General features: G+C 39.5%; 1 long non-coding RNA gene and 1 pseudogene across 1 annotated transcript, besides 3 other annotated features; both read right to left on the bottom strand.

Annotated features, from left to right (window-relative positions):
* Nucleotides 2806–8967, bottom strand: LOC124902143 (uncharacterized). The gene is made up of 2 exons (XR_007061463.1): nucleotides 8569–8967; nucleotides 2806–6573 (listed from the first exon to the last, which is right to left on the bottom strand). It is a non-coding gene; the product is annotated as an uncharacterized LOC124902143 (long non-coding RNA).
* Nucleotides 17746–17754: a recombination feature (RSS nonamer).
* Nucleotides 17755–17777: a recombination feature (RSS spacer).
* Nucleotides 17778–17784: a recombination feature (RSS heptamer).
* TRBV26OR9-2 (T cell receptor beta variable 26/OR9-2 (pseudogene)) lies at nucleotides 17785–18266 on the bottom strand (annotated as a pseudogene). Its single transcript is given in 2 exon segments — nucleotides 17785–18079; nucleotides 18218–18266. Coding segments are annotated over 2 exon segments (344 nt in total).

The raw sequence follows: 24641 nt of genomic DNA, 5'->3' as shown, positions 1-24641 counted from the left end.
TTGGAAAATCTATTTTGTCTGATAGTAATATAGTTACTTCAGCCTTATTTTGATCAATGTTGGTATGGTATATCTTTTGTTATTATTTAATTTGACTTATTTATGTCTTTATGTTTAAAGTAGGTTTCCCCACTGGGTACACATGAACATAAAGGTGGGAACAATGGACAGTGTAGAGTCCAAATTGGGGGAGGGAGGAAGGGGAGCCAGGTTTAAAAAATAATCTGTTGGGCTCTGAGTTCGCTATTTGGGTGATGGGTTCAATTGAAAACCCAAACCTCAGCATCATGCAATACACTCGTGTAACAAACCTGGACACGCACCACTTGAATCTAAAATTTAAAAAAATAAAAAAGGTGTCCTGTGGGCAGCATATAGTTGAGTCTTCCCTTTTCATACAATCTGACAGTATCTGTCTTCTAATTGGATTGTTTAGGTAACTTACTCTTAATGTATTTATTGATCTGTTTGGGTTTAAGTCTGTCACATTGCTATCTGTTTTCTGTTTATCCATCTGTTCTTTGTTTCCTTCTTCTTTTCTTTTCTGGCCTATATGTATTTTTTTTATGCCCCCATTTTATTTTCTTTGTTGGCTTACTAGCCATAAATTTCTTTTGTATTATTAAATTTCTCAATTCTCAGCAACTATATATTGAAAATTCTACATCTTACCATTCTCTTTATTCTCTCCTTCAGCTGTCCAGAGGCCAGCTGTTGGTCTGAAAGTATTTGTTACAAGCAAGTACCATTAAGCACATTGTTTAGTGTAGCTGATATTATTTTTTGAACCAAGTCTTTCTTTATTAAAAAAAGCAGTGCATTGGTTTAAATTCTGGTACGGGCTCCTTTATCTCATACTGGCTTTGTGCAGCACTGTTCTAGATGTTATAGAAATAGGCACAGGGTACAGTTCTGTCTTGGCAAGGCCGGAAAGGCCTTTAAGGCTGCTGCAACACTTAGGCTGCGACTTCAGAGATGGCCAGTTTGTTCATCCAGAAAATGGGGTAGGAAAGAACATTCCAGATGTTATAAGTTTCTTGACGTCATGGACTTTGTCTTCTTCATCTTGGTAGTCTCATAACAATGCCTGACACATAATAAATGTTCAATAAATGTCTGTAGGATTGAACTCAACAAATTGCGGGAAGTAATGTCAGTTAAAGTGCCGAAATAAGAGATATAGGTGTCTCATCGGGGACAGCAAGTCTAGGGTGAAAAGTGATGCTAGAGAAATAACAAAAAAAAATCACACATGGAAGGCATTGTTTGGCATGTTAAGGGTCTCAGATCTTATCCTAAAGAGTATAGAAGGTTATTTGAAGGGTTTCAAGCAGAATGTCATCAGATTCACATTTTAGAAGATCCCTCTGAGTGCAGTGTAAAGGGTGGTTCAGATTGGGCTAATCTGAAGGTAGAGAGACCAGATGGGGGCTCTTGCAGTAGTCCCCCAGAAATATGGTGACAAACTGAGCTAAGATTGGCTTCCCACCAGGGAGCAGTCACTTCTGTCTCCAGACATAGACTCAGTGGAATTTCTCCCAGCTCTGAGATATTCAATGGTATTAGGTAGCAACCAGTACCTTTCTCTCTCCTCCCAGATCTAGGAAGTCCATGCTTGCCTTGTTCTGGATGTTTGCAATGGAAGAGTGAACAACATCTTAAGGGGGCATGAAGAAGCGAAGATGGTGTTATCTAACTATACATTATTGCCATTTCCTTCTATTGGGAATTAAATATGTCCCCAAAGACAGTGTCCCTGAACAAAAGGAAAGACAGCAAACACTTCTCATTGCAAGAGTTCTTTCTGGATACATGTTATTCTTGCCCAAAATACTTCATTACCAGAAAATTAGAAATTTTTATTCATACTCTCATACCCTAGAGAACCCTGTCTTAGTCTGTTTTATGTTGCTATATCAGAAGACATGAGACTGTGTAATTAATAAAGAAAAAATATTTTATTTGGCTCACAATTCTGGAGGTCAGGAAGTCCCAAACTGAGCAGCCCATCTTGTGAGGGTCTTGTGCTGCTTCAACTCATGGCAGAAAATGGATGGGGGAGTGGGAATGTCCAAAGAGATGAAACATGAGAAGGAAAAACTTGTTGTCATGGTAACTAACCAAGTCTGTAAGAGTGAAACTCACTCCCGAGAGGAGGCATTAATCTGTCCATGAGAGATCTGTCCCCATGATCCAACACCTCCCACTAGACCCCACCCCCAACACTGCCACACTGGCATTTAAATGTCAACATGAATTTTGGTGGTGACAAACCACATCCAAACCATTGCAAACTCCCTCACCTTCCCATCCTCTATACACTCAACTTTTATACACTTCAAGGAGCAAATCTAGTTTACTAATTCCTTTTCTGTAATTTATTTTATTTCTAAAGCAGGTGCTGTGTGAGGGAAACAAATATCTGGTTTGCAAGAGACAGAAGTGAAGGAGAAGTAATACTAATGATGATAATAATGATAAGGAAAAAACACCCAGGAGGAAAACTGCCTAACATTGATATGTAACAATCAAATGTGTGTGTGTGTGTGTGTGTGTGTGTGTGTGTATGTATGTAATTTCAGCAAAGTGCAGTTGTGATAGCTGTAAGAGTACACAGGTACATTAACAATTCATTTTCTAGGCGAATAACTGACTCCTGGCCAAAATTTCCTGTCGTGGATAACAAGCAAATCCAAACTTGCCCATAGGCTCATGCTTTCATAACACACCTAGTGTCTTGCTATCACCTTTCCCCCCAAAGACCTCCAATGATTTGAAAAAATGAAAAAGAAAAACAAGACAATATTCATTTTGTCCTGATAGATTGCTTTATTAATTCTATGAGAGAGAGGAGGACAAACCAAGAGGCTAGCTGAAGTTACATAATGGGTGATGAGTGTCCAATTCTAGGGTATTTCTCCTTGATAAATGATTTATTATTGTCACAAAAGATACCAAATTTTGATACTCTAAATAGCAGTGCTGTCCAATGGAGATAAACTATGCCATATTCATAAATTTAAAATTTCTAGTAGACTCATTAAAAAGGTAAAAACAGGAGAAATGAATTTTAATGCTATATTTTATTTAACCCAATATTAACAATTATCATTTCAATATAAAAATAATCTTACTATTAATGAGATTTTAATATATTTTTTCATACTAAGTCTTGTACATCTGGTGTGCATTTCATGCTTACAGCACATCTCCATTAGCACTAGCCACAATTCAGGAGCTCAGTAGACACGAACTAGTGGCTTGCATATTGGAGAGTGCATGTCTAGAGTTTCTTAGGTAATTTGACTTCTTCAAGGGCCCTTAATCATGGCCTAAGGAGCCTAGATTTACTTTGCTAGGGCTGTTTTCAACAAGTGCATGCATAATTCTAGTAGGGTGAGGGTATGGATAGGGTGAGGAAAAAAAAGGCTGTAAAGGATGTATGGGATTCTGAGCCCAGCCCATCCAATCTCCAGGGATGCACTGGTGTCAACTTCAAGCTACCTTGTCACAGATGCCATTGAGCCAAATCATAAGGCAAAGGAAGTCTAGGTTGCAATGGGGCAGATGAAGCCCAATTTATACTCCCATTCTGGTGGGTCTGTAGTACTTTTCTTAGCTGTTTCTCAGAATTTGTCTACTTTATGTTCCCTGCTGTGTGTCTATAATGATCCTTAAGAAGAATGGACAGTCCCATAGGCGATTAGAGGTGGGAGGGGCTTTAGGGGTTCTTTGGTGCAACCTCCTCATTTGATAGTTGAGGACAGTGAGACCGGTATCTCAGGGTCTGTGACGTTCATGAGCCCTTAAAAGAAGGATGCAGAAAGTGACTACATAGCCCACCAGGAAACCCATGTGAAAGCCACGAGGAAGAGCCTGTTCCCAGAGCCTGGACACACCAGGACGGTGATTTTCCCATGTGCTTTCTGAGAATACCCACCCCTGTGAGCCACAGGCCACACACAGACGAGTGTCCCAACAGCTTCTCTCCAGATTAGGTCATTTCTTCACAGAGCCTTACCAAGATATGCACCTTTAGACCAGCTCAGTTCTAGAAGAAATTTTTTTTTTCTGTTGTAAATATTTTCTAATAATTTTGTTCTCCAAAATACATATTTTAAAATTTGTTGAGTTGGCTTCCTCTGAGGCCTCTCTCTTTGGCTTGTAGATAACCATTTTTTCTCCTATACCTTTTTTCTGGTTTTCCCTCTATGCATGTCTGTGTCCTAACCTGATAAGGACACCAGCCATATTGAATTAGGGCCCACCCTAATGACCTAATTTTAACTTAATTATCCATGTAAAGACCGTGTCTCCAAATATAGTCACATTATGGGGCACTGGGACTTAGGACATCAACATATGAAATGAAGAGGGTAGCATAGCTCAGTCCATAACAATGGAAATAATAAAAGTACTTAGTTTGTTGTGGCAATTAAATGAGTTGCCACGAATAAAGAGGTTAAAAAATTGCCATGCATACAGCTATTCAAAATATTTTCTCTGCTCTGCTTCTATCACAATAGTTTCTTATGTCAGTGCCAGTCTCTGCGTTAAACTACTCACATACTATTTCATTCAACGCTCACTCCACTTCTGAGAGGCTTATATTATTTACTTCATTTTATAGATGTGAAAACTGAGGGCTTAGAGGGCTTAAGTCACTTTCTAAAGCTACTAAGTGCCAGAAACTGTCTGACTGCAAATCCTGCACTCTCAACCATGATGTGTAACTATTTCCATTTCTCTACATGCTTTATGGTAAACGTGATGGTGAATTTACCGTTCAACAATTTGACTTTTCAATTTCTTTTAGGAATTATTTTCCAATCACTCCAGGAAGGAATTATTCCCAAGATGAGTAGTCTCCCTGAGGATTGAAACAGCTGTAATGCTCCCCTGCTGGAACATTCTGATCCTAAACCTATAGAGATGAGGAATTTGTAGAAATGGAACCTGCCAAGAACAGAAACTGGCAGAATCTGTCACAAGAAAAAGGTCCCAATCAGACTCCAAGAGAGGGTTCTTGGATCTTGTGCAAGAAAGAATTTATGAGGAGTCTGAGTAAAGTGAAAGCAAGTTTATTAAGAAAGTAGAGGAATAAGAGAATGGCTACTCCAAAGACAGAGCATCCCTGAGGGCTGCTGGTTGCCTATTATTATGGTTATTTCTTGATCATATGCTAAACAAGGGGTGCATTATTTATGCAGGGTTACATCCTGATGTTGCTATGGTATTTGTGAACTATTATGGCGCTGGTGGGAGTGTAGCAGTGAGGATGACCAGAGGTCACTCTCGTGGCCATATTGGTTTTGGTGGGTTTTGGCTGGTTTCTTTACTGCAAACTGTTTTATCAGCAAGGTTTTAAGGACCTGTATCTTGTGCTAACCTCCTATCTCATCCTGTGACTTAGAATGCCTTAACTGTCTAAGAATGCAGCCCAGTAGGTTTCAGCCTTATTTTACTCAGCTCCTCTTCAGGATGAAGTTGCTCTAGTTCACATGTCTTAGACATTTCCTCCCTCCCTTTTATAAGAGAACCCTTAATCCTAAGGTTGTAGGGGGACAAAGATTCATCTTCTGTAACTTCTTCAGGCTGAATAGGGGAAATGATATTCCTGCCTAACTATTAGGGTCTCTGTGTTCAGGGTAGAGAGGAGCTCAGTCAGAAAGCCTCAGTATGATGAAGGCCATTCAGAACTCTTGAGTCCTGATGAAAGGTGATATCTGAAAGACTAATAAGTATTTAGTTTAAGAAAACATTTAGCAAGCTTAGTCTGCATTCCTACACAAAGAGTAAAACAGCAATATAACAAAATAAGCAAAATTATCCCAAATAAACTAAATTATAAGGCTCTTCATGAACTGGGCAACTACTGGAACCAAGCTGACATGAGGTGGTTAGCCAATTCCAATACATGCCCAGAATTAGAATACTGATCCAGATTTTTACATTACCAAAATGTCTTGTTTTTTCAGAGTAGCAAACAAAGATCACCGGTTGGTTCACAGGAAGAAGCAGGGTTAGCCTAAACTGCAGAAACAAACTTAACAACTGATGAGACTAGAATTTAATAACAAGTGTAACATAGGTCTTGAAACATAATATTCTCTCTCCTGTTTTCCATTTTCACTAAAGATAAGTCATAGTGAGACTAATTTGCTTTATTATACTTGGCCTGATTATTTGTATAAAGTACAGCAAGAATAATTATTTTTCACATAGACTTTTAACACTGGCTTTGATGAAACTTTGTTTCTTAGAAGGAATCTTAGATAAGACTCTTTTTGAGCTGAGCCCTACCATGGGTTTGTACCCTCAAATACCTATGAGTTTAGTAAATTCCTCTCCTCTTGGGGTCCCAAGATAACTTGGGGCTCCTGGACCTGTTAGAAGGTGACATTATTTACTTACCACAGGTCAGAAATCACGTACAGGGACTGTTGTAGCAAAGGTCTGAGGCCATTTCTCCAAGGGGCTTTTATTGACTTGGCAAGTCAAGTTTGATTCCTTAAAGGAGAGTATACCATTCCATCAAAGTCTTCGTAAAATAATCAGTTTCTCCAATTGTGTCTTGTTGCCAAAAATAATAATAATAATAAAGAAAACAAAACAAAACCCAACAGATTCTTATTACACTCATGCAAATAACTATATTGCCATAAATTAAGAATACTCACAACTAGTTTACAAAATCCAGAGAAATCAGGTAAAAAGAAAAAAATATGCTCTCAATTTTGTTCACACAAGTATACTTTACTCAATTGCTAAAAGCTATAATAGCTCAAAAGTTTTCTTGACTCTGAAACACAAAAGATCAGCAACATTTTACACAAAAAGTTAAAAAGGTTACTTTAGACTTTTGCTAGTTTAGTCCATGCAGTTAACTTCTGTTCTGCTTGATATTTATGAACATTTTAGCTCTCCCTGAGTCCTGAAAGGTTTCCCTCTGTTCTGATGTCACAATGTCCAAACTTATCAGAAATCTGCATTTAAAAGCACCAGTAGAGTCCTACAGTTAATTCTAAACCACCTTTTAAAGAGAACCAAAACAAGACCACTTTTGGATGACCAAAAGTCTTAGGACAGCCACAATTAAAGCCAAAATTGACTAGAAAAATGTGGTTGCCTCTGAGACACAATGATTTTAATGAACAATTATTAATAACATACACTAAGTCATATCAGGATTAAAGAATTTTTAAAAATAATTTTGGAACATGTACCAGTAACACATTTATACAAATACAGCCCAAAGAAACCCAAATGCCATTTTGTATTTGATAATGCTTCTTGTATTATTGTAATATTAAATAAGCCAAATGTCACTGTTGCATTTGTGCATTATTGATGTCAAACCCAATTCTTAGTAAAACTTTATAGACAAATGTCTTCAATCCTAATCATATTGACCATAAGGTAAGGTTTTTATAAACCTTTTATAACCCTTTACAAGTTTTTGTTAAAGAGTAGAGTAGTGCTTTTATTCCAATGTTCAGTTTCCAGAAAAACTGAATAATACCCCTTTAATTTTAGCCAATGTTTGCACACAGAATCTCTTTTACAGTTATTTTTTCACAACCCTTCCACAGCTTTCTTGAACAGTCAGCTTCATCCTAACTTGAAACCATCCTTTAATGCTTTAATCTAGGCAAAAATCTAAATTCCCATGACTTTATATTTTTTTAATTAAAAATATTTTTCTTTTTTTTTTTTTTTTTTTGAGACAGAGTCTCGCTCTTTCGCCTAGGCTGCAGTGCAGTGGCGTGATCTCGGCTCACTGCAAGCTCCGCCTCCTGGGTTCACGCCATTCTCCTGCCTCAGCCTCCCAAGTAGCTGGGACTACAGGCACCTGCCACCATGCCCGGCTAATTTTTTTTTTGTATTTTTTTAGTGGAGACAGGGTTTTACCATGTTAGCCAGGATGGTCTCAATCTCCTGACCTTATGATCCACCTGCCTCGGACTCCCAAAGTGCTGGGATTACAGGCGTGAGCCACCGCACCTGGCCATTTCACTTTCTTTACATAATTGCATATAAAACTGTTTCTTCAGTAGTATCAATTACATGTTATAATGTTGACTCTTACCAAGGTTTTTCACCAAAAGTTGCTAAATTTGGGATTTTAATTATGTACTAGGTGTGAAGCCTAGCCTGGGATACACCAGGCAGAAGTGCAGATAAAGGCTGACTCCAGCATAGCTAGGGGGCGTGGCTAACTCCGCAGGTCCCCAGGTCTTATCTAGAATCTAATGGCTTCAAGGTAGGTAAATTGAACAGCTTTCAAAAGTTAAAGAAGCAGTTTATGACCTTCAAGCATTTAGCAATCTTAATATCTGACCTGCCTAATTTAAGCCAAATGTTTACATTTTTGAAGATATTTTTATTTTACTGATAATCTTTAAAACTGTCTTTATTTCTGGAAAATTACTTAAGTCACATGAACTAAAAGGCATTATACTTTTTACTTTTCTGACAAAATATTTGATTTAAGCTCTCATTAAACCCATTAATCAATGCTGTTTTAGAAATAAACATCACACACACATAATACATGTAAATACATACACAGAAGAAGATAAAAAAAATTCATCCCGAGGCAGAAATTGAACCCTGAACACAGGATGCCATTGTGAAAAGAGAAAACATGGCCACATGCTTACAGCTTCAAGTTCCCAAGGACATGCAAGACAAGAAAAAAACTCATCCAGTTTTTCTCAGGAAACTGCAGCAAAGTTTGTAACAGACCAGTTTGCTGTTCTGCCTTGAAAAGCGTCCTAAGCCAGTGTTCTATCATAAGGTACCCCTCTTTATGACAGAATAATACAGAAAAACACACAAAGCACATCAGATTTGCTGCAGCTTAAGTCTAGCATCAAAAATCCTTTCTTCCATTAATCAAAACTTTATAGGAGATAAACAGTGATTTTTTACCATTAATTCAACCAGTTTGCACAGAGAAAGAGAGACAGGGAGAGACAGAAAGAGGAAAGCATTGCCTGAGGCAGGGTGGGGAAGGGGAGGCACTCAGAGAGATCAGAGAAAGACCCACCCATTGCAGTGACACTGAACAGTTCAGGTGGCCGCTTGATAGTTGTGAAGGATCTTTTCCAGCAGTCCCATCAGCTCTCAAGTTTTCCGTTTTAGGGAGAAATAGTTCCCCATGTCCAATGGTCCTGTACCTGCCTAATCCTGTTACCCACAGCTGTCAGCAAGGAGTTCAAGGCAGATTAATCCAAAGAGAATAGCAGTTAACATACCGTTCTTAGCTCAAAGGGACTTTACCCAGAGTGACCTTTCTAAGAGGGGCCACTAACCCCCTAAATCTTAGAAAGGGACTCTAATCCTCCTAAATTGGGCCTCTAACCCAAGGTCATTCAAGTGTCCTTGCCTTTTATTAAGAGGGGCCTTTAACCCACTCTGTCTTAGGAGAGACTCTAACTCCCCTAAGTTGGGCCTCTATCCCAATCCCATTCTTTACCTGAGTAGGTACTCCACCACTTATCCAAAGTTGTCCAATCAGTGCTGCAGTCTATTTCCTTGGGTTGGGGGGAGGTCTCCTTAGTATCATCCCTTCAGGGTTTGCCAGGAAGATGTTACACGACCCCAACACTTACCCAAAGTTATCCTTTGGTTCCGGGGTTTCCTCACTACGGTCTCTTCATAATCACCAGAAAGCTGTTACAGGAAAGGCTTCTTATCCAGACCCCAAAAGAGGATTCTTGAATCTCAAGCAAGAAAGAATTCAAGGGGAGTCCATAGCATAAAGTGAAAGCAAGTTTATTTGGAAAATAAAGGAATAAAAGAATGGCTTCTCTATAGATAGAGTAGCCGTGAGGGCTGCTTGTTGCCTATTTTTACGGTTATATCCTGTTTATATGCTAAACAAAGGATGGATTATTCATGCTTCCCCCTTTTAGACCATATAGGGTAACTTCCTGATGTCACGGCATTGGTAAACTGTCACAGCACTGGTGGGAATGTAGCAGGGAGGATGACCAGAGGTCACTGTTGTGACTATTTTGGTTTCAGTGGGTTTTGGCTGGCTTCTTTCCTGCAACCTGTTTCATCAGCAGGGTCTTTACGACCTGTATCTTGTGCTGACCTCCTATCTCATCCTGTGACTTAGAATGCCTTAACTATCTGGGAATGCAGCCCAGTAGGTTTCAACCTTATTTTACCCAGCTCCTACTTAAGATGGAGTTGCTCTGGTTCATATGTCTCTGACAAATCCACCCTTAAAAGTGGCATCATCTGATTCAAACTCCTGTCTTTGTACTTTTGCCTCTTAGGCTACTTCCCAGCGCGACTTCCTTCATCAGCTGCCTTTTTTCAGCTGCTTCGAAATAGAGCCTTATAATAGTTTTCTCTTACTGCTGTACCGTATTACTGCAAACTTAGTGGCTTAAAAACAACACAAACTTATTATCTTACAATTCTTTTGGTTAGAAGTCCAGGATGGGTCTCATTGGCACTTTGCTCTTTGGAGGCTCTAGGAGAGAATATGTTTTTGTTTTGTTTTTTTTTTTTCTCTTCTAGCTTCTAGAGGCCTCCCATATTCCTTGACTCATGGCCCCTTTCATTATCTTCAGGTGGCAACAGCAGGTAAAGTTCTCACATCACTCTCACCATAGTCACTTCTGAGTACCTATGTGTTTACACTGAGCCCACCTGCATAAGTCAGGATAATCTTCCTGCCTCAAGGTTAGCTAATTAGCACACTAAACTATCTACAAACTTAATTATCTTCTATTATGTATGGTAACATATTTACAGGTTCTGAGGTTTAGGACATAGACAGCTTTTGGAGTCATTATCCTACCTACCAGTAGCCCTTAGACAGAAAAGGAAGGCAAGGGTTGTTAAATTTAAGGAATATACTTTGGAGGAAGAAGGAGAGAAGAGGCAAACCCAGGATCAAATCATTGTAGACATTAATGTTTTTTTTTTTTCTTTAACAGACACATAGTGAACACCTGTTAAATATCAGGTGCTGTTTCAGATCCTGAGAATAGAGGCATAAACATAAAAGTCAGCATCCCTCTTCCTATATTGTGTCTGATCATTCATTAAACATGGATGTCAGGCATAGGAGAAGATTCTAGGGAAGGAATAACGGAAAGGCATGTCATTTGACCACATGGATTTTGTAGGCCCATGGGAAGATCACTATACCAAGAAACATAATTTGGTATTTGCAGAAAGGGAGAATTGTGTAAGGTATGGCGAGTACAGGGGAAAGAGTCTACAATCTTCTTGGGAAAATGGCACATTTCATGTAGTGCTATTGTTTTAAGTTATATTTGAAAGTGCAGAATAAATTTGCAGGTGTGCCGTGTAAGGGAAATACTATGCACAGCATGTTTGGAGATCAGTGTTGCTTAGAGCAAAGTAAGTGGGACTGTGAGTGGTAGGTGTGACTGGATTTCATAGTAGGCTTGTAATCATAGAAACCTTTGTATATGTTACACAATTTTTTTTTACCCATCCATCTCCTTCCTAGACGGATTTAACCCCTCCCCACTTTCCATTACATCCAGGGCTCTCCTGGCCCACAGCAATGTAGGAAAGTAGAAAACGATTTAGCAGATTGAAGAAGACAGAGCTTGTCAGCATACTATACACAGGTGTACTTGCAGAGTTGGTGAACACATAGAGACAAAGGGGTGATTATATTGTGTGTGTTTCAATCAGGCTGGGTATGATCTGGTCATTTGGTTTTCTTCACCTCTTCCTTTGGACATGTCTGGGATTCTGAAGCACTGACCCATTCTTCCTACTCATAAGAAGCAAGTGTTTTAGAATATGAGTGCTATTATTATTCAGGTATGGTAGAGCTAATGGATCAGGAGACAGCTGCCACTGAAAATACAGTTTGTTACTTACAGTTCCCAAGAAGAAGGGGCATGACACACTATGCAGGGCCACACAGGCCCAGTTTTTTTGTTTGTTTGTTTTTCTTGAGATGGAGTCTCGCTTTGTCGCCCAGGCTGGAGTGTAGTGGCATGATCTTGGGTCACTGCAACCTCTGTCTCCCAGATTCAAGCAATTCTCCTGTCTCAGCCTTCCAAGTAGCTGGGATTACAGGTGTGCACCACCATGCCTGGCCAATTTTTGTATTTTTAGTAGAGATTTCTTCATGTTGATCAGCCTGGTCTAGAACTCCTGACCTCAAAGTGATCCACCTGCCTCAGCCTCCTAAAGTGCTGGGATTACAGATGTGAGCCACTGTGCCTGGCCCCAATTTTTTTTTAAGGCCTGAAACAAATTATTTGAAACCCAGTCATACTCTGTCATCTTTGACCCAGTTAAAACTTCTCCCTGTGTGGTTGTCAGCTATATGGTCTGTTTCTCATTCCCCTGACCCAAAACCCAACACACTCCAGAGCTGCTGACCATGATAAAGCCTAATGGCCAATGCTAGAGTCCTGCAAGTAAGTTTCCTCCTTCTGAAACATTTAAAGTAGCTGACCCATAACCCCCATAGGAAAGCCTAAGGAATAGTTCCACCGGCCCTCACCCACCCCCTCTTGCCCTTGCCTGTGCCCTCTCTTCCCTCCTCAACTGGATGAGCTCCGTGCCATCTTCACACTTCTCTTGGGCCTCTCTAACCTCTTTGGGTTCTGTGAGTAATAAATTTCTTCCTTTCATGCATTTTGTTTTCACTTCCTCCACTGTGTCTCACCTGACACTCACACCTGAATCTAACTCCCCCTCCCCTGAGTCAGAGGTCTCCTAGAGAGTGGCTATATTGGTTTATGGCTAGTCTAAAAAGAGAGACCTCATGACCAAGTTAGAAAAAAATCATAGCAATAAGAATCACAACAGTGGGTCAGAAGATAGAAGGAGTGACAGGAAACATTGGCAAGAAACTTTATTGTGGTTTTCACTGAACAAATGAGTGAGGCAGGGTACACAGGCTAAATAGGTTTAGCATTGGCTGGTTTAAATTTTTGAGCAGGCTACAAAGTGTAGGGATTATCTCAAGTTGTTTAGTACCTGGCCCTGTGGTAATTAGGGTAGGAGAATAGGGGCTCAGAGTATGAGAGCCCAATAAAGAAGGTGGGTTGGAGTAGAGGTTTGGATTGGTTGATTTGATATGAAAGGCATGCTCTAGGGAAAGCAGTTTGCTACCCCTAGGAATGAGTTAACCCTGAGAGGGTCAGTCCCTCCAAGATCAGCAAGTCCCCAGATGTCAAAACATCAGAAAATATGGATGTCAAAACATTAGAAAATACAGACAATAAGAAGGCATGATTAATACAGTATGTCCTTCTCAGTACCCAACTGATATGGTTTGGCTCTGTGTCCCCATCTAAATCTTACCTTGAATTATAATCTCTATAATCCACACGTGTCAAGGGTGGCACCAGGTGTAGGTAATTAAATCATGGGAGCAGTTTCCCCCATGCTGTTCTCATGATAATGAGTGAGTCTCACGAGATCTGATGGTTTTACAAGCATCTGGCATTTCCCCTGCTGGCACTCACTCCATCCTGCCACCCTGTGAAGAAGGTGCCTGCCTCTCTTTTGCCTTCCACCATGATTGTAAGTTTTCTGAGGCCTCCCCAGCAATGTGGAACTGTGAACCAATTAACCCTCTTTGCTTTATAAATTACACAGCCTCAGGTATTTCTTCATAGCAGTGTGAGAACAGACCAATACACCAACTGTAATGGTCTTACTGTGGGAGGATATCAAAGTGACTCAAGAAGAAAAATATAGAGCTCTTTGACACCATCGTAGACTCTAGTGTGAACTTGACATTATAATACAGTGCTATTTTTCTAGTAAAGGACTAATTTTCCTTTTTTCAAAATAAGGGATAGTCATAAGTTTTTTTCTTTTTAAAACTTAGATTGTATATATTGTAGACCATGGGGGAGCCAGTGAAGGATGCTGCAGAAAGAGTGATAGAAACAGATTTTTGCAATTTGGAAGATTATACTTGGGTATAATACTAATACTAGATTAGATGAAATGAGGATTAATAAGGAACTAGAGAGATTAATGAGCTCTTTTATATTTATTTGGCAAGCTAGTAAAAAGGGCATAAACATGTCAGTGGTTGCAGTGATTGAGATAGTAAACTAAGATATTTAGGAGTTAGAAATGAAAGTGTTGCATAAAAATTGGATGTCCAGGGCAAAAGAGAGAGAAATGTGGCACAACTCTCAGCGTTCATATATTGTACAAATAAATGACTCCGTCAAGTCAGGAACTCAGAGGAAATGCAGCTTGGGAGGGAAATATGATATGAGTTTTACCTTTAGGTAGAAGTATTCAGTTGGTGTCCTGAATAAATTTAAGTTCAAATTTGGATCAAAATGGAAGGTACAGATCTTGAATTCATTAATCCCTAAGTGGTGATTCTTGTGTTCCCAGTCCCCATCACAGAGTAATGAATAGCAACTACCTCATGGAAAGAGAAAGGACTGCTACCTTCTCAACAATTCTTCTCTCTGAAAGTCCCTTTTCTTTGCTCATTGTCTTATCTTTCTCCATCAATGGAATTAGGTGGCAATTCATTTCTGTCAAGCTCATCAGTATTTGAGGTACCCTGAGTTATCTCTGTTTAATTGTGGAAGGTGAATTAATTCACAAGAGGAGAAACTATTTGCTGTTCTGAGACTTTAATCAGTTTCTGTATCATCCCACATTTCTTCTTCAGGAAGTTTTCACCAACTTGCTGATAATAAAGTCGCAGTAGGTGTTCTCCTGTTAACTGGATTCTAACAGACATTTCTTTTTTGAGGCTTCATCTTGAGGTCGAGCCTAGTTTTCTACGCACTGGAATTTCAAAGGATTATGCTACCTCCCCCCAGATTAATCAACTGATAAGAAAAAGTATTTCCATGGTAAGTTACCTCAAAATTTGTAAGGACAAAGCTAATTATAAATCTCCTTTCATCTGACAACTAAGTTTATTCTCTTCAGAAAAGTGCTCTCCACATTCACTCCATCCTTCCTTTCTACTTCACTGCTCCTTCATTGACAACTGTTCTGGTCTCATCTTTCTTTTATTTGTTAACTCAGGGACTAAAACAATTCTGTTTCTTGTCTTGAATCTCCAGTGTTCTTCCAGTAAGAGCAAATCTATTCCACCTTCTTGCCTTTCCTTCCTAGACCTGGTCTTTGCTCCATTTTAATAAAGATCAATTCATTTTACTTCTGTACTGTATCCTTGATTAAGCAGTAGTAAGAAAATTTGATCCACTGCTTGGCCAAAACTCTGAACCATCTCTTGAATAGTTTTGAATTCTAATTTAATATATTTGATTGTATGCTCTCTGAATTTCTATTCCTGACTTTCCTGGCATTTGATCTCCATTGGTATGGTAGGCAGAATTCCAAGAATGACCTCCAGTGACTCATGCCCATGTATAATGTCCTTCACTTTCAGCATGAGTGGAACCTAAAAATATGATATGTCACTCCAGCGATTATGTTACATTATTTGACAAAATAAATACTATTCAGGTTGGCCTAACCTAATCACCAGAGCCCTTTAAATGCAGAGTTTTCTGTCTTGAAGCAGAAGTGGGTATCACAGGATTTTAAACATGAGACAGATTTGATGTGCATTTGAAGATCAAGGGGACCAGAAAGAAACTGCAAGGAGCTGACAGCCAATAAAAAATGGAGACCCTAGACCTGCTGTCACAAGGAACCAAATTCTACCAGTACTAGGAATAATCTAGGAGGAGTAGCCAATCTCCTGATGAAAATGCAGACAGCTGACCCCTTGATTTCCACCTTATAAGACCCTGAGAAAAATCCAGCCATACTTTCCTGGACTTCAGACATACAGAACTGTGAGATAAGACAATTGTTACTTTAACCTACTGAATTTGCAGTAATTGGAAAACTAATATAGGTGGGTATCACCCAACATGCATCTTTGGGGAACTAAGTAAATCTGCTGTATCTCTAGCCTATCTATTCAAAGCCATGGATATTGATCTTAAAAGTTACACCTGCATCTACCCAAGTGAGGTTCTGCTCCTCAATAATCCCTGTAAATAAACAGTTCATTTCTCTTAAACATACAGTTACACACATACATACAAAATAACTTTCTTCTCTGTGGGTGATCCAGAGCCCACACAAAGTCTGCATAATGTTTACTACCCTCTTTTACTGCTGCTGAGGCCATTGTACCACTGAGAAGGTCTTGCTGTCACTGTTCTCATTTTCCTAAACAACGTGATTAACCATTGAGATATCTTTGAAGAATCTTAGAAGGGTATTTGCAAATCTGTGGGTTGTCTTCACTTGGTTAAAATTCAATTTCATTAAAATTTCTCTACATCTGTGTCTGAAAGTTTGTCTAGAAATGTGCTGTGGTTTGAATGTGTTTCTTCTAAAATTCATTTTGAAATGTAATCCCCATTGTGGCAGTATTAAGAGGTGGGAAGTGATTAGGTCATGAGGGTTCTGCTCTCATGAATGGATTAGTGACTCATAAAAGGGTAGGGAACCAGCTTAGGCACTTTTCTCATGTGATGACATAGCACTCAAGGTGCCATCTTGGAAGCAGAGACCAAGGCCCTCACCAGAAATTGAACCTGAGGTGCTTTGTTCTGGGCTTCTGAGCCTACAGAACTGTGACAAGTTCATGTTTATAAATTATCCAATCTCAGTTATTTTGCTATAGTAGCACAAATAAACCAAGACAAGTGTTCATATTGTGTTGATGCCCTATAGTCTAGTGGGATATTGACAAGAAATGAAGGGTTTAATAACAACCAAAAAGGTGTCCTAGAAGGACAAAAATGGAAAGAGGGAAGCAGGGCATATCAAACCTAGGGGAGGACATTGGTATACTTTTGTGTGAACCAAAAATAAAATCCTAAGCCCCACAACCAACTGTGTGGACCCCTTCTCTTGGCCAAGAGCATTCCAAAGTTAACATGAAAAACCAGTTCAGTTCTTAGTGGGAAGTGGGGTCAGACATGCCTCATTATACCCTCTTCACTTTAGAATTCAGGCACAACCAACCAGCATTAACATTACAATGGAAACCTTATGAGTGACAAAACAGACCCTTTGTAGCAATAAGACACCAACATGACTCCTAGCAGGCCCTGAAAAAAATCAATATTTTACCCCAAAATGTATTTTCCGACATATTTTTAAACGGCCCTACAAAGCTGTCTATCATGAGGGAAATCTACATTCTGTAGATAATTCTCTTTCCTTTTCAGGTTTTTCCCCTGATCCAGAAGAGAATTATGAGTCTGGCACCTTTTAAAAGTTTGATTAAGAAATACAATCTATTCTCTCTGAAGCCTGCTCCCTGGAGGCTTCATCTGCATAATAAGAACCTTGGTCCCCACAACCCAGATACTTCTTTATATTGATTTCAAATCTTTAGACGATAACTTAACTCTTTCAACCAACTGCCAGTCTGAAAAATCTTTGAATCCACCTATGACCCGGAAGCCCCCTCTTTGAGTTGTCCCACCTTTCCAAATTGAAACAATGTACAGCTTACATGTATTGATTGATGTCTGATGTCTCCAAAAAGGTATAAAACCAAGCTGTAGGCTGACCACCTTGGACACACGTTCTTAGGCCCTTGAGCCTCTGCCTCTGGCCATGCTCACTCATGTTTGGCTCAGAATAAATCTCTTCAAATATTTTACAGAGTTTGGCTCTTTTTGTCAATACCTGTGAGGTAACTTCTCTTATTTGCGGTGAGGAATTTTGAGGGCAGGCTTTTCCTCTTTGGTATGCACCTTTTTTTATGTGGAGAGGATGTGGCAGCTATGCAGTGCTGTGGATGAACTGCTGGCGCAGAGATACACACATGTCTGGTTGGTGCTAGCAGACTTCAGGGTCAGGAGAAAAGATGCTATAGTATTTCAAGAAACATGATACCTCTCAGAGACATCTCCTTTTTCAATGCTCCCAGTGCCAGGTGAATAATAGACTAGCTTCAGTCCAAGTCCTGGGTTCTGTCGATACCAGTACATTGCAACATGATTCATATTCTGGGGACACAGTAGAATGAATTCCTTTCCTGTCCCAATGATTCTGTGTCTTGGGAATTGTGTAACTACAGCATCCTTGAGGCCTGTTGGGAAAAATGGGTGATCAAATAAAGACAGAGCCTGGGAAAGAGGAGACTAATGTGACTTTTATGAAGAAACATTTTATAGTTAGATCCTGTGAATTCAGTAATAGGGATTCCTCACCTGTGCCCAGGACTCACCTGCTCTTAGGAGACAAATGATCACACAGCAGAGAAGCCTGTTGCTCATGGCAGCACCAAAAGCAGGATGTTGCTTGGTGCTGTGATTAATTTAGTCTCTGATACCAGCACTTTTCATTCACTTCCTGGCCAGAGAAACAACGCTTGTCTCTCACACTGCCAACAGCTACATAACTGCAAATCATGTAGCCAAGGCATGTGCAACAGTAAAAGCTTTGACTTCTAACAATACCCAGAACCAAAGATTCCTCCCCTTAGAAACAAGAAGACCAAGACATGACTGGAACCTGAAAGCCGGACCTCTTTCAGTAGTGAGGGGTCCATTGGCCCAGAAGCTCCTGGGCTAAAATGTGCCTCAACATATCTTACCATAGATAGTCATATTTGAAGCCCTCCAATCAGACCCTACCAAATCAACATTCCTAAATCCTTTCCCTTGCTCTCTGATCCCTTAAAACCTGCCCTAGACCCCAAATCAGGGAAACAGATTTGAGCTCACTCCTTTCTTTTTGCTGACTGGTTTTTCAACAAAGCCTTTTCTTTTCTCAAAAGCTGGTGCCATAGTTATTGGCTTCTGTGTGCAAACCCATTTGCTTGATAACAAATATAGGTGCCCAATGTGAGGCCAATGCCTGCCAAGGCACTGTAGCCCCTCAGTGGGAACTAAAGTTTCTTCACTGACCCTGAGTGGTGCTACCTAGACCAGTTTATCCAGAGGCTTAGCTGTGAGGTCCTTATTCTCTGTCATGACATTTCAGGCCCTTTGAGTGCTACTTTCTCTTTTGAGGAAAGAAATTGCTTCTGGATAAGATGTCTTTTGGAGTCAGTACCTTGGTAATATGTGCTTACACCTTAAATTATCTTTGGTCTAGGAGTGTAGATTAGAGTCCTATTTTTGTGTAGCTTCATGGGTTTGAATCCTACCCTAGGGAGGTCCTGGTTAGATTATTTCAGTCCTGGCTTTGGGTTAGGGTCTGAAAGAATAAGTGCAATAGTAAGGTGCTGTAACTGTTAGAGTACTCAATTTGGCTTGGTTTTGGTTTTCCTTTGTGTTTCTGAGTTTTTGGTTTGCATAATTATTCATCCTAACAGAGGTTAAAATTTTTGATGGTTGTGACAAGAACCTCATTAGAAGTTTATTTAAATGAAAGTCCTTGGATTCCAAAGATGAAATACATTGCTTCCTCCTGCCCTTTAGGGTGTTCCTAGGTGACTAAGAGCCTGGCAGAGGTGTTGAGGCCATTGGCTTACGATGTAAAGTGATAAACCAATCCCCCATTCCTGGGTCAGAAAGAACTTCAACAGCTCATCCAGGAGGAGCACATAAGGGATCTTGGTAACCCCAACATCTCGAGCGGCCCAATACCATCTGGTGTTTAGGACCCTCTGAGACATGTAAGAGGGAATATCTAGCCCATTGGTGATTCTCTGAAGAGGAATCCCCATAATCACCACACCACAGACCGAGAACACCTCGTTTGTACAGGAGCTTGTTCCAGTTATTTCAGATAAAACTCTATACAAAATGGGAAACTTTAATAACATACTTGTCTATAGTCTTTTAAGATAAAACTTCCCACAGATCAACACACCACATGCCACAGCTTACTGATAGCAACCAGTAATGATGAGACCCAGGGACTTCTATACACTCTATTAGCTCTGTCAACATTTCCCACAAAGAAGTGCAGATGACAGTTGGTGTGGAAAAGTGATGTATAGATTTTCTAGTTGACCATGGAGCTACACACTCTATCCCAAACATAAGACAAGTCCCCATCTTCCCAAAGACCACTGCTATTACTGGTGTATCTGGGGAAACATCCTTGCAAGCCTTTCCTTCAACCACTCAAATGCCACAGAGGAAAAACCTATTTAAACATAGCTTCCTATATATGCCTGAATGTCCAATACCTTTGTTGGGATAAGACTTGCTAACAAAATTAAATGCACAAGTAATTTTTCACCAGAATGAATCAATATTAGAGTGTCTCCTAAACAAGCCTGCACCCTCCAAGTTGCCTTATTACAATGAGAAGAAAGATACCACCTGAAATCCTAAAAGAGGCTCTAAAAAAACAGGCTTGACTTGACAAATCAGTTTTTGAAATACCCAGACCTGGGAATGTTTACCAATGTGAACAGCTTCATGGATCAGGGTCTCTGAAAAGCCAGATAAACACCTAGTGACTTACCAGAAAATCTTAAAACCTGAGGCTTTCCCACCAGGTATCTCTGCCCAAAAGGCAGAACTTATTGCCCTCACACGAGCTTCACACCTCAGGACAAATAAAAAGGTAACCATTTATATAGAATCCAAATATGTCTTTTTGGTAGTGCATGTAAATGGAGCCATATAAAAGACAGAGATTCACTAATCTCTTAAAGAATAAAATTAAACATACAAGAGAGATATTAGACTTATTAGACTCAATTTTCCTGTCAAAAAATGGCCATAATGCAGTGCCCAGGACACCAAAAGACTGATAGCTAGATAACTAAATGCAATAATCTAGCTGATCAGGTAGAAAAACATACAGTTAGGATAAAACAGCCTAAAACAAAGGCTCTGGTACTTATTCCAAGTATGAATCTGTCCTTATTTAAACCCAGTACTCAAAGGTAAATCTAGAAAGAGCAAACCAGTAGGGATTTCATACTCATACTCAAGACTTGGAGAGGGAACACTATAAAATAACTAAAGAAGTCTAGATTTACAGTGAACAAGGAATAGTTCTTGTCCCTGAGCATTTGATAAAGGATTATTTCCCAGTTATATCAAAGAACTCATTATAGAAGAAACACAACCTATCATTAGTTACTGAAGTTTATTGTCAGGCTGCACGTACAAAAGACTATCCAAAATTGTCTTATTTGTGCTACAGAGAATCCAAAGACAGGACCACCTCCAGCAGGCAAAGGGGTCTAAACCTGAGGAAGAGAAACAAGACAAGATTGTCAAATAGACTTTGCAGTTATGCCAGGAGCTGGAGGAAACTATAGATACCTGTCGGTACTTGTAGACACCTTCACTAGACGGGTCAAGTTCTTTCCATGTCAAACAAAAAATGCATCTGAGGTAACTCAAGCTTTATTAAAAGACATAATTCCTTACTTCGGATTGTCTATTTCAATTCAAAGTGACAACAAATACCAGACTTACCTAAGAAGTTTATGGAGCTCTTAGGATACAGTGGAAATTAAGCATCTCTTAGAGGCTCCAGTCTACTAGAAAGACTGAAAAGATAAACAATATCTTATAAAATGTACTTGCCAAAATGTGTCAAAAACCCAATTTAACATAGGATAAGGTCTTGCCACTTGCCCTGCTTAGAGTAAGAATGGCCCCTAAAAGCAAGCACCAGTTTAGCCCCTACAGAATTCTATGTGGGACAACCCTTCTTATGACTAAATATTATTTTAACATTGAAAATCATCATGATGGGTAAATGCATTAGATGCTATAAAATGTGTACAGTCTCTGGGTATAACTTTGTCTGCTATACATAATTACACTTCTAGCTGTTTTAATGTTTCCTATAGATGTTCCCTTTACATTGTCTAAGTCTAGGAAACTGAGTACAACTTACGACCTAGAAAAATCACCACCCTGAAGACCAACTACAGTTCAAATAGATTAGGCCCTATGAAGTTCCTTTAGTGATCCATTCAGCAATAAAGTTAAAAGGGTTGAGGCCCTAAATTCATCATTCATGGGTAAGAGTTATTCCCATTTTCAAAAGATTCCTCTTGGTCCCTGTAAAATTCCCAAACAGGTCATGCCCTTCACAGGTAAGAAAAACCAAAGGACCAGACTGACCATATACTAGATGGCTGTGGAGGCCCACAACCAGTTTTTCCACCCAGGAACACACTTGGAAACCCCTAAATGATCTTAAGTTACTTTTTAAAAAACTCAATAAGACCAAAAGGGCTCCTGACTCTCCAGATAAGTGAAAATCATTTCTGTGTCTAAAACCAGCCTCCATCTGATAGAACTACGAGGGCAGAAACAGGAGACAACTAAAGGAGACAGCTTGCCCAAGATATTGGGTGAGGCCTGTATTAATGCAACTTAATTTTTACCTTGTTGTCATATATATTATTCTGCGCTATTGAATTAATCACCTCTACCTCCTTGATTTAACCTCAAAAATATATTTAGGACCTTATAGCCCTTCCTTGGGTAGAGTTTATTTTTTTCTGATCCTTTTCTTTCTATCAGCCAAATATCTCCTCTCAGTGAAACAAAATGATTTCCTCTGTTTAAAATGCCCACAGTTTTCCTCTATTATATCCTTTTATATCCTTTTGCTTGCCTTAACCTCAACATAAAAGGATAATTTCTTTCTTTCTTTCTTTCTTTTTTCTTTTTCAGACAGAGTTTCCCTCTGTCGTGCAGGCTAGAGTGCAGTGGCACGATCTCGGCTCACTGCAACCTCTGCCTCCTGAGTTCAAGTGAACACATCTGGCTAAATTTTGTATTTTTAGTAGAGATGGGGTTTTACCATGTTGGCCAGGCTGGTCTCAAACTCCTGACCACAAGTGATCCACCCACCTCAGCCTCCCAAAGTGCTGGGATTACAGGCATGAGCCACCACACATGGCAAAAAAGATAATTTCTTGATAAAAATGTCCCAATCCCTACCTACCTCACAAAATCTATCTAAATGTTAGAGATGTCATCAAAAACCCTCCTCTGCACTTGATCACACTGATCTGCTGCTTATCTCTGTGACCAGCTTCTCTAAAGTGCCTAATTTTCTGGTGACTTATGATCAAAAACCCACAGTATAAGTCAGATTTGCTGGTGGAGGATCATTAGTTCCCTGTTTTTCATTAACATCCCCTTCAAAGACACTTATGTTAGGATAAAGGGGCCTATGCCCACAGAAGCCAGACATTGGCTAACTCAGAAACAGAAGTCATCTGTTTACTTGACACACCTACTATCCACTTCCTGTTTTCTATCCTCTGGTCCAGGAGAGATACACTGATGTGTCCTCAAACTGTAGATCTACATGATTATGTCAAGATTTAAATAAAAAGAACCTAGTATACCTTCAGGGACTGCCCTCTTCCCTACCAATTTGTAAGTTAGAAAACTTCTTCTAGACTCTTCTATACTCTGGCTCCTACTTTCACCAAGTCCTAAGTAAAATTCCTCAAACTGAGAACTTAAATGTTAATATATCTGGTATTCTATGCGCCTCCTCAGGATATGTCTTTGTCTATGAAACAAACGACCAGCCCTGGGACTATGAATGCCTTGACAGCTGATGCCCAAAAGACATCTGTTTACTAGGGTACTTAGTCACTCCTTTCTCTGTCTATGACATTAGTGATGCTAGGCATTAGACTAACACCATAAAACTGTTCATAATGGCCAAAAGATCTATGCTAAACCTCCTCCCAGGTAAATATTTACCAGGTGGCCCACCAGATGGTATAGGATATTTCTTTAGACAAACTCTGTTGCCATGGTGGGTAGTTGCTTCTCATAAACATATGATTAAAAACCTTTCCATTGCCCTGAAAAAGCTTGCCAAGGAGACCACAATGGCCATGGTGGCTCAACAGAGAGAGCCAGGTGCTTTGGCTAAAGTAATACTAGATAATAAAATTACCCTAGATTATATACTAGCTAAACAAAGAGGTGTTTATGCTTTAATACATCATGCTGTATTTACATTAATACTTCTAAAAATGTTGAGACAGACCCAAATAATAATAGACCAAAAGCCACTTGACTCCATCTAGTGTTCTCTAACAAACCTGGATATAATATGTAAACATGTTTTCATCAGGAATAAGATCTATTTTTGAGGGTCTACTTAAACTAAAAATTATATTTCTGTATGTGTTGAGATTTCTCTTCCTTCTCTCAAGTTCTCTACCTGTTGTCTATCTTGTCTTTTTAAATCAATTCCCCCTGCTCATGAAATAATTATTAAATATCAAAATAATTCCCTGACCCACCTGTTTGACTTCAACCCAGGACCCATGAACATTTGCAATTAATTATGAAACAATTTCATTCCTCAAACCCAGACCTATGTCCCTTGTCAACAAAAAGTAGCTAGAGTGGTAGACACTCAATTCCTTCAAGATTGAGAACTAAACTAAACTAAACAAAAAGGGAAGAATTTGTAACTGTAGGATCAGCCCAAACTGGGTCTATTATGTGGATAACAAAATGTTGAGTTTGCTTGTAGGTACAACAGAGCCAAAAGCTTTGATCTCGAACAACACCTGGAATGAATGATTCCTCCCTTCGGAACCAAGAAGACAGGAAGATGCCTGCAATCTGAATGCCAAAACTCTTTGAGAAGCAGTGGGTTCATTGGCTGGGAAGATCTGGGCTCAAATCTACCTCAACCTACTTTACCATAAATGGTTAAATCTGAAGCCCTCCAGTCAGACT

The sequence above is a fragment of the Homo sapiens genome, chromosome 9, assembly GCF_000001405.40.
Source record: "Homo sapiens chromosome 9, GRCh38.p14 Primary Assembly".
Taxonomy (NCBI): Eukaryota; Metazoa; Chordata; class Mammalia; order Primates; family Hominidae; genus Homo; species Homo sapiens.
This window is presented reverse-complemented; position numbering and strand designations above follow the sequence as displayed.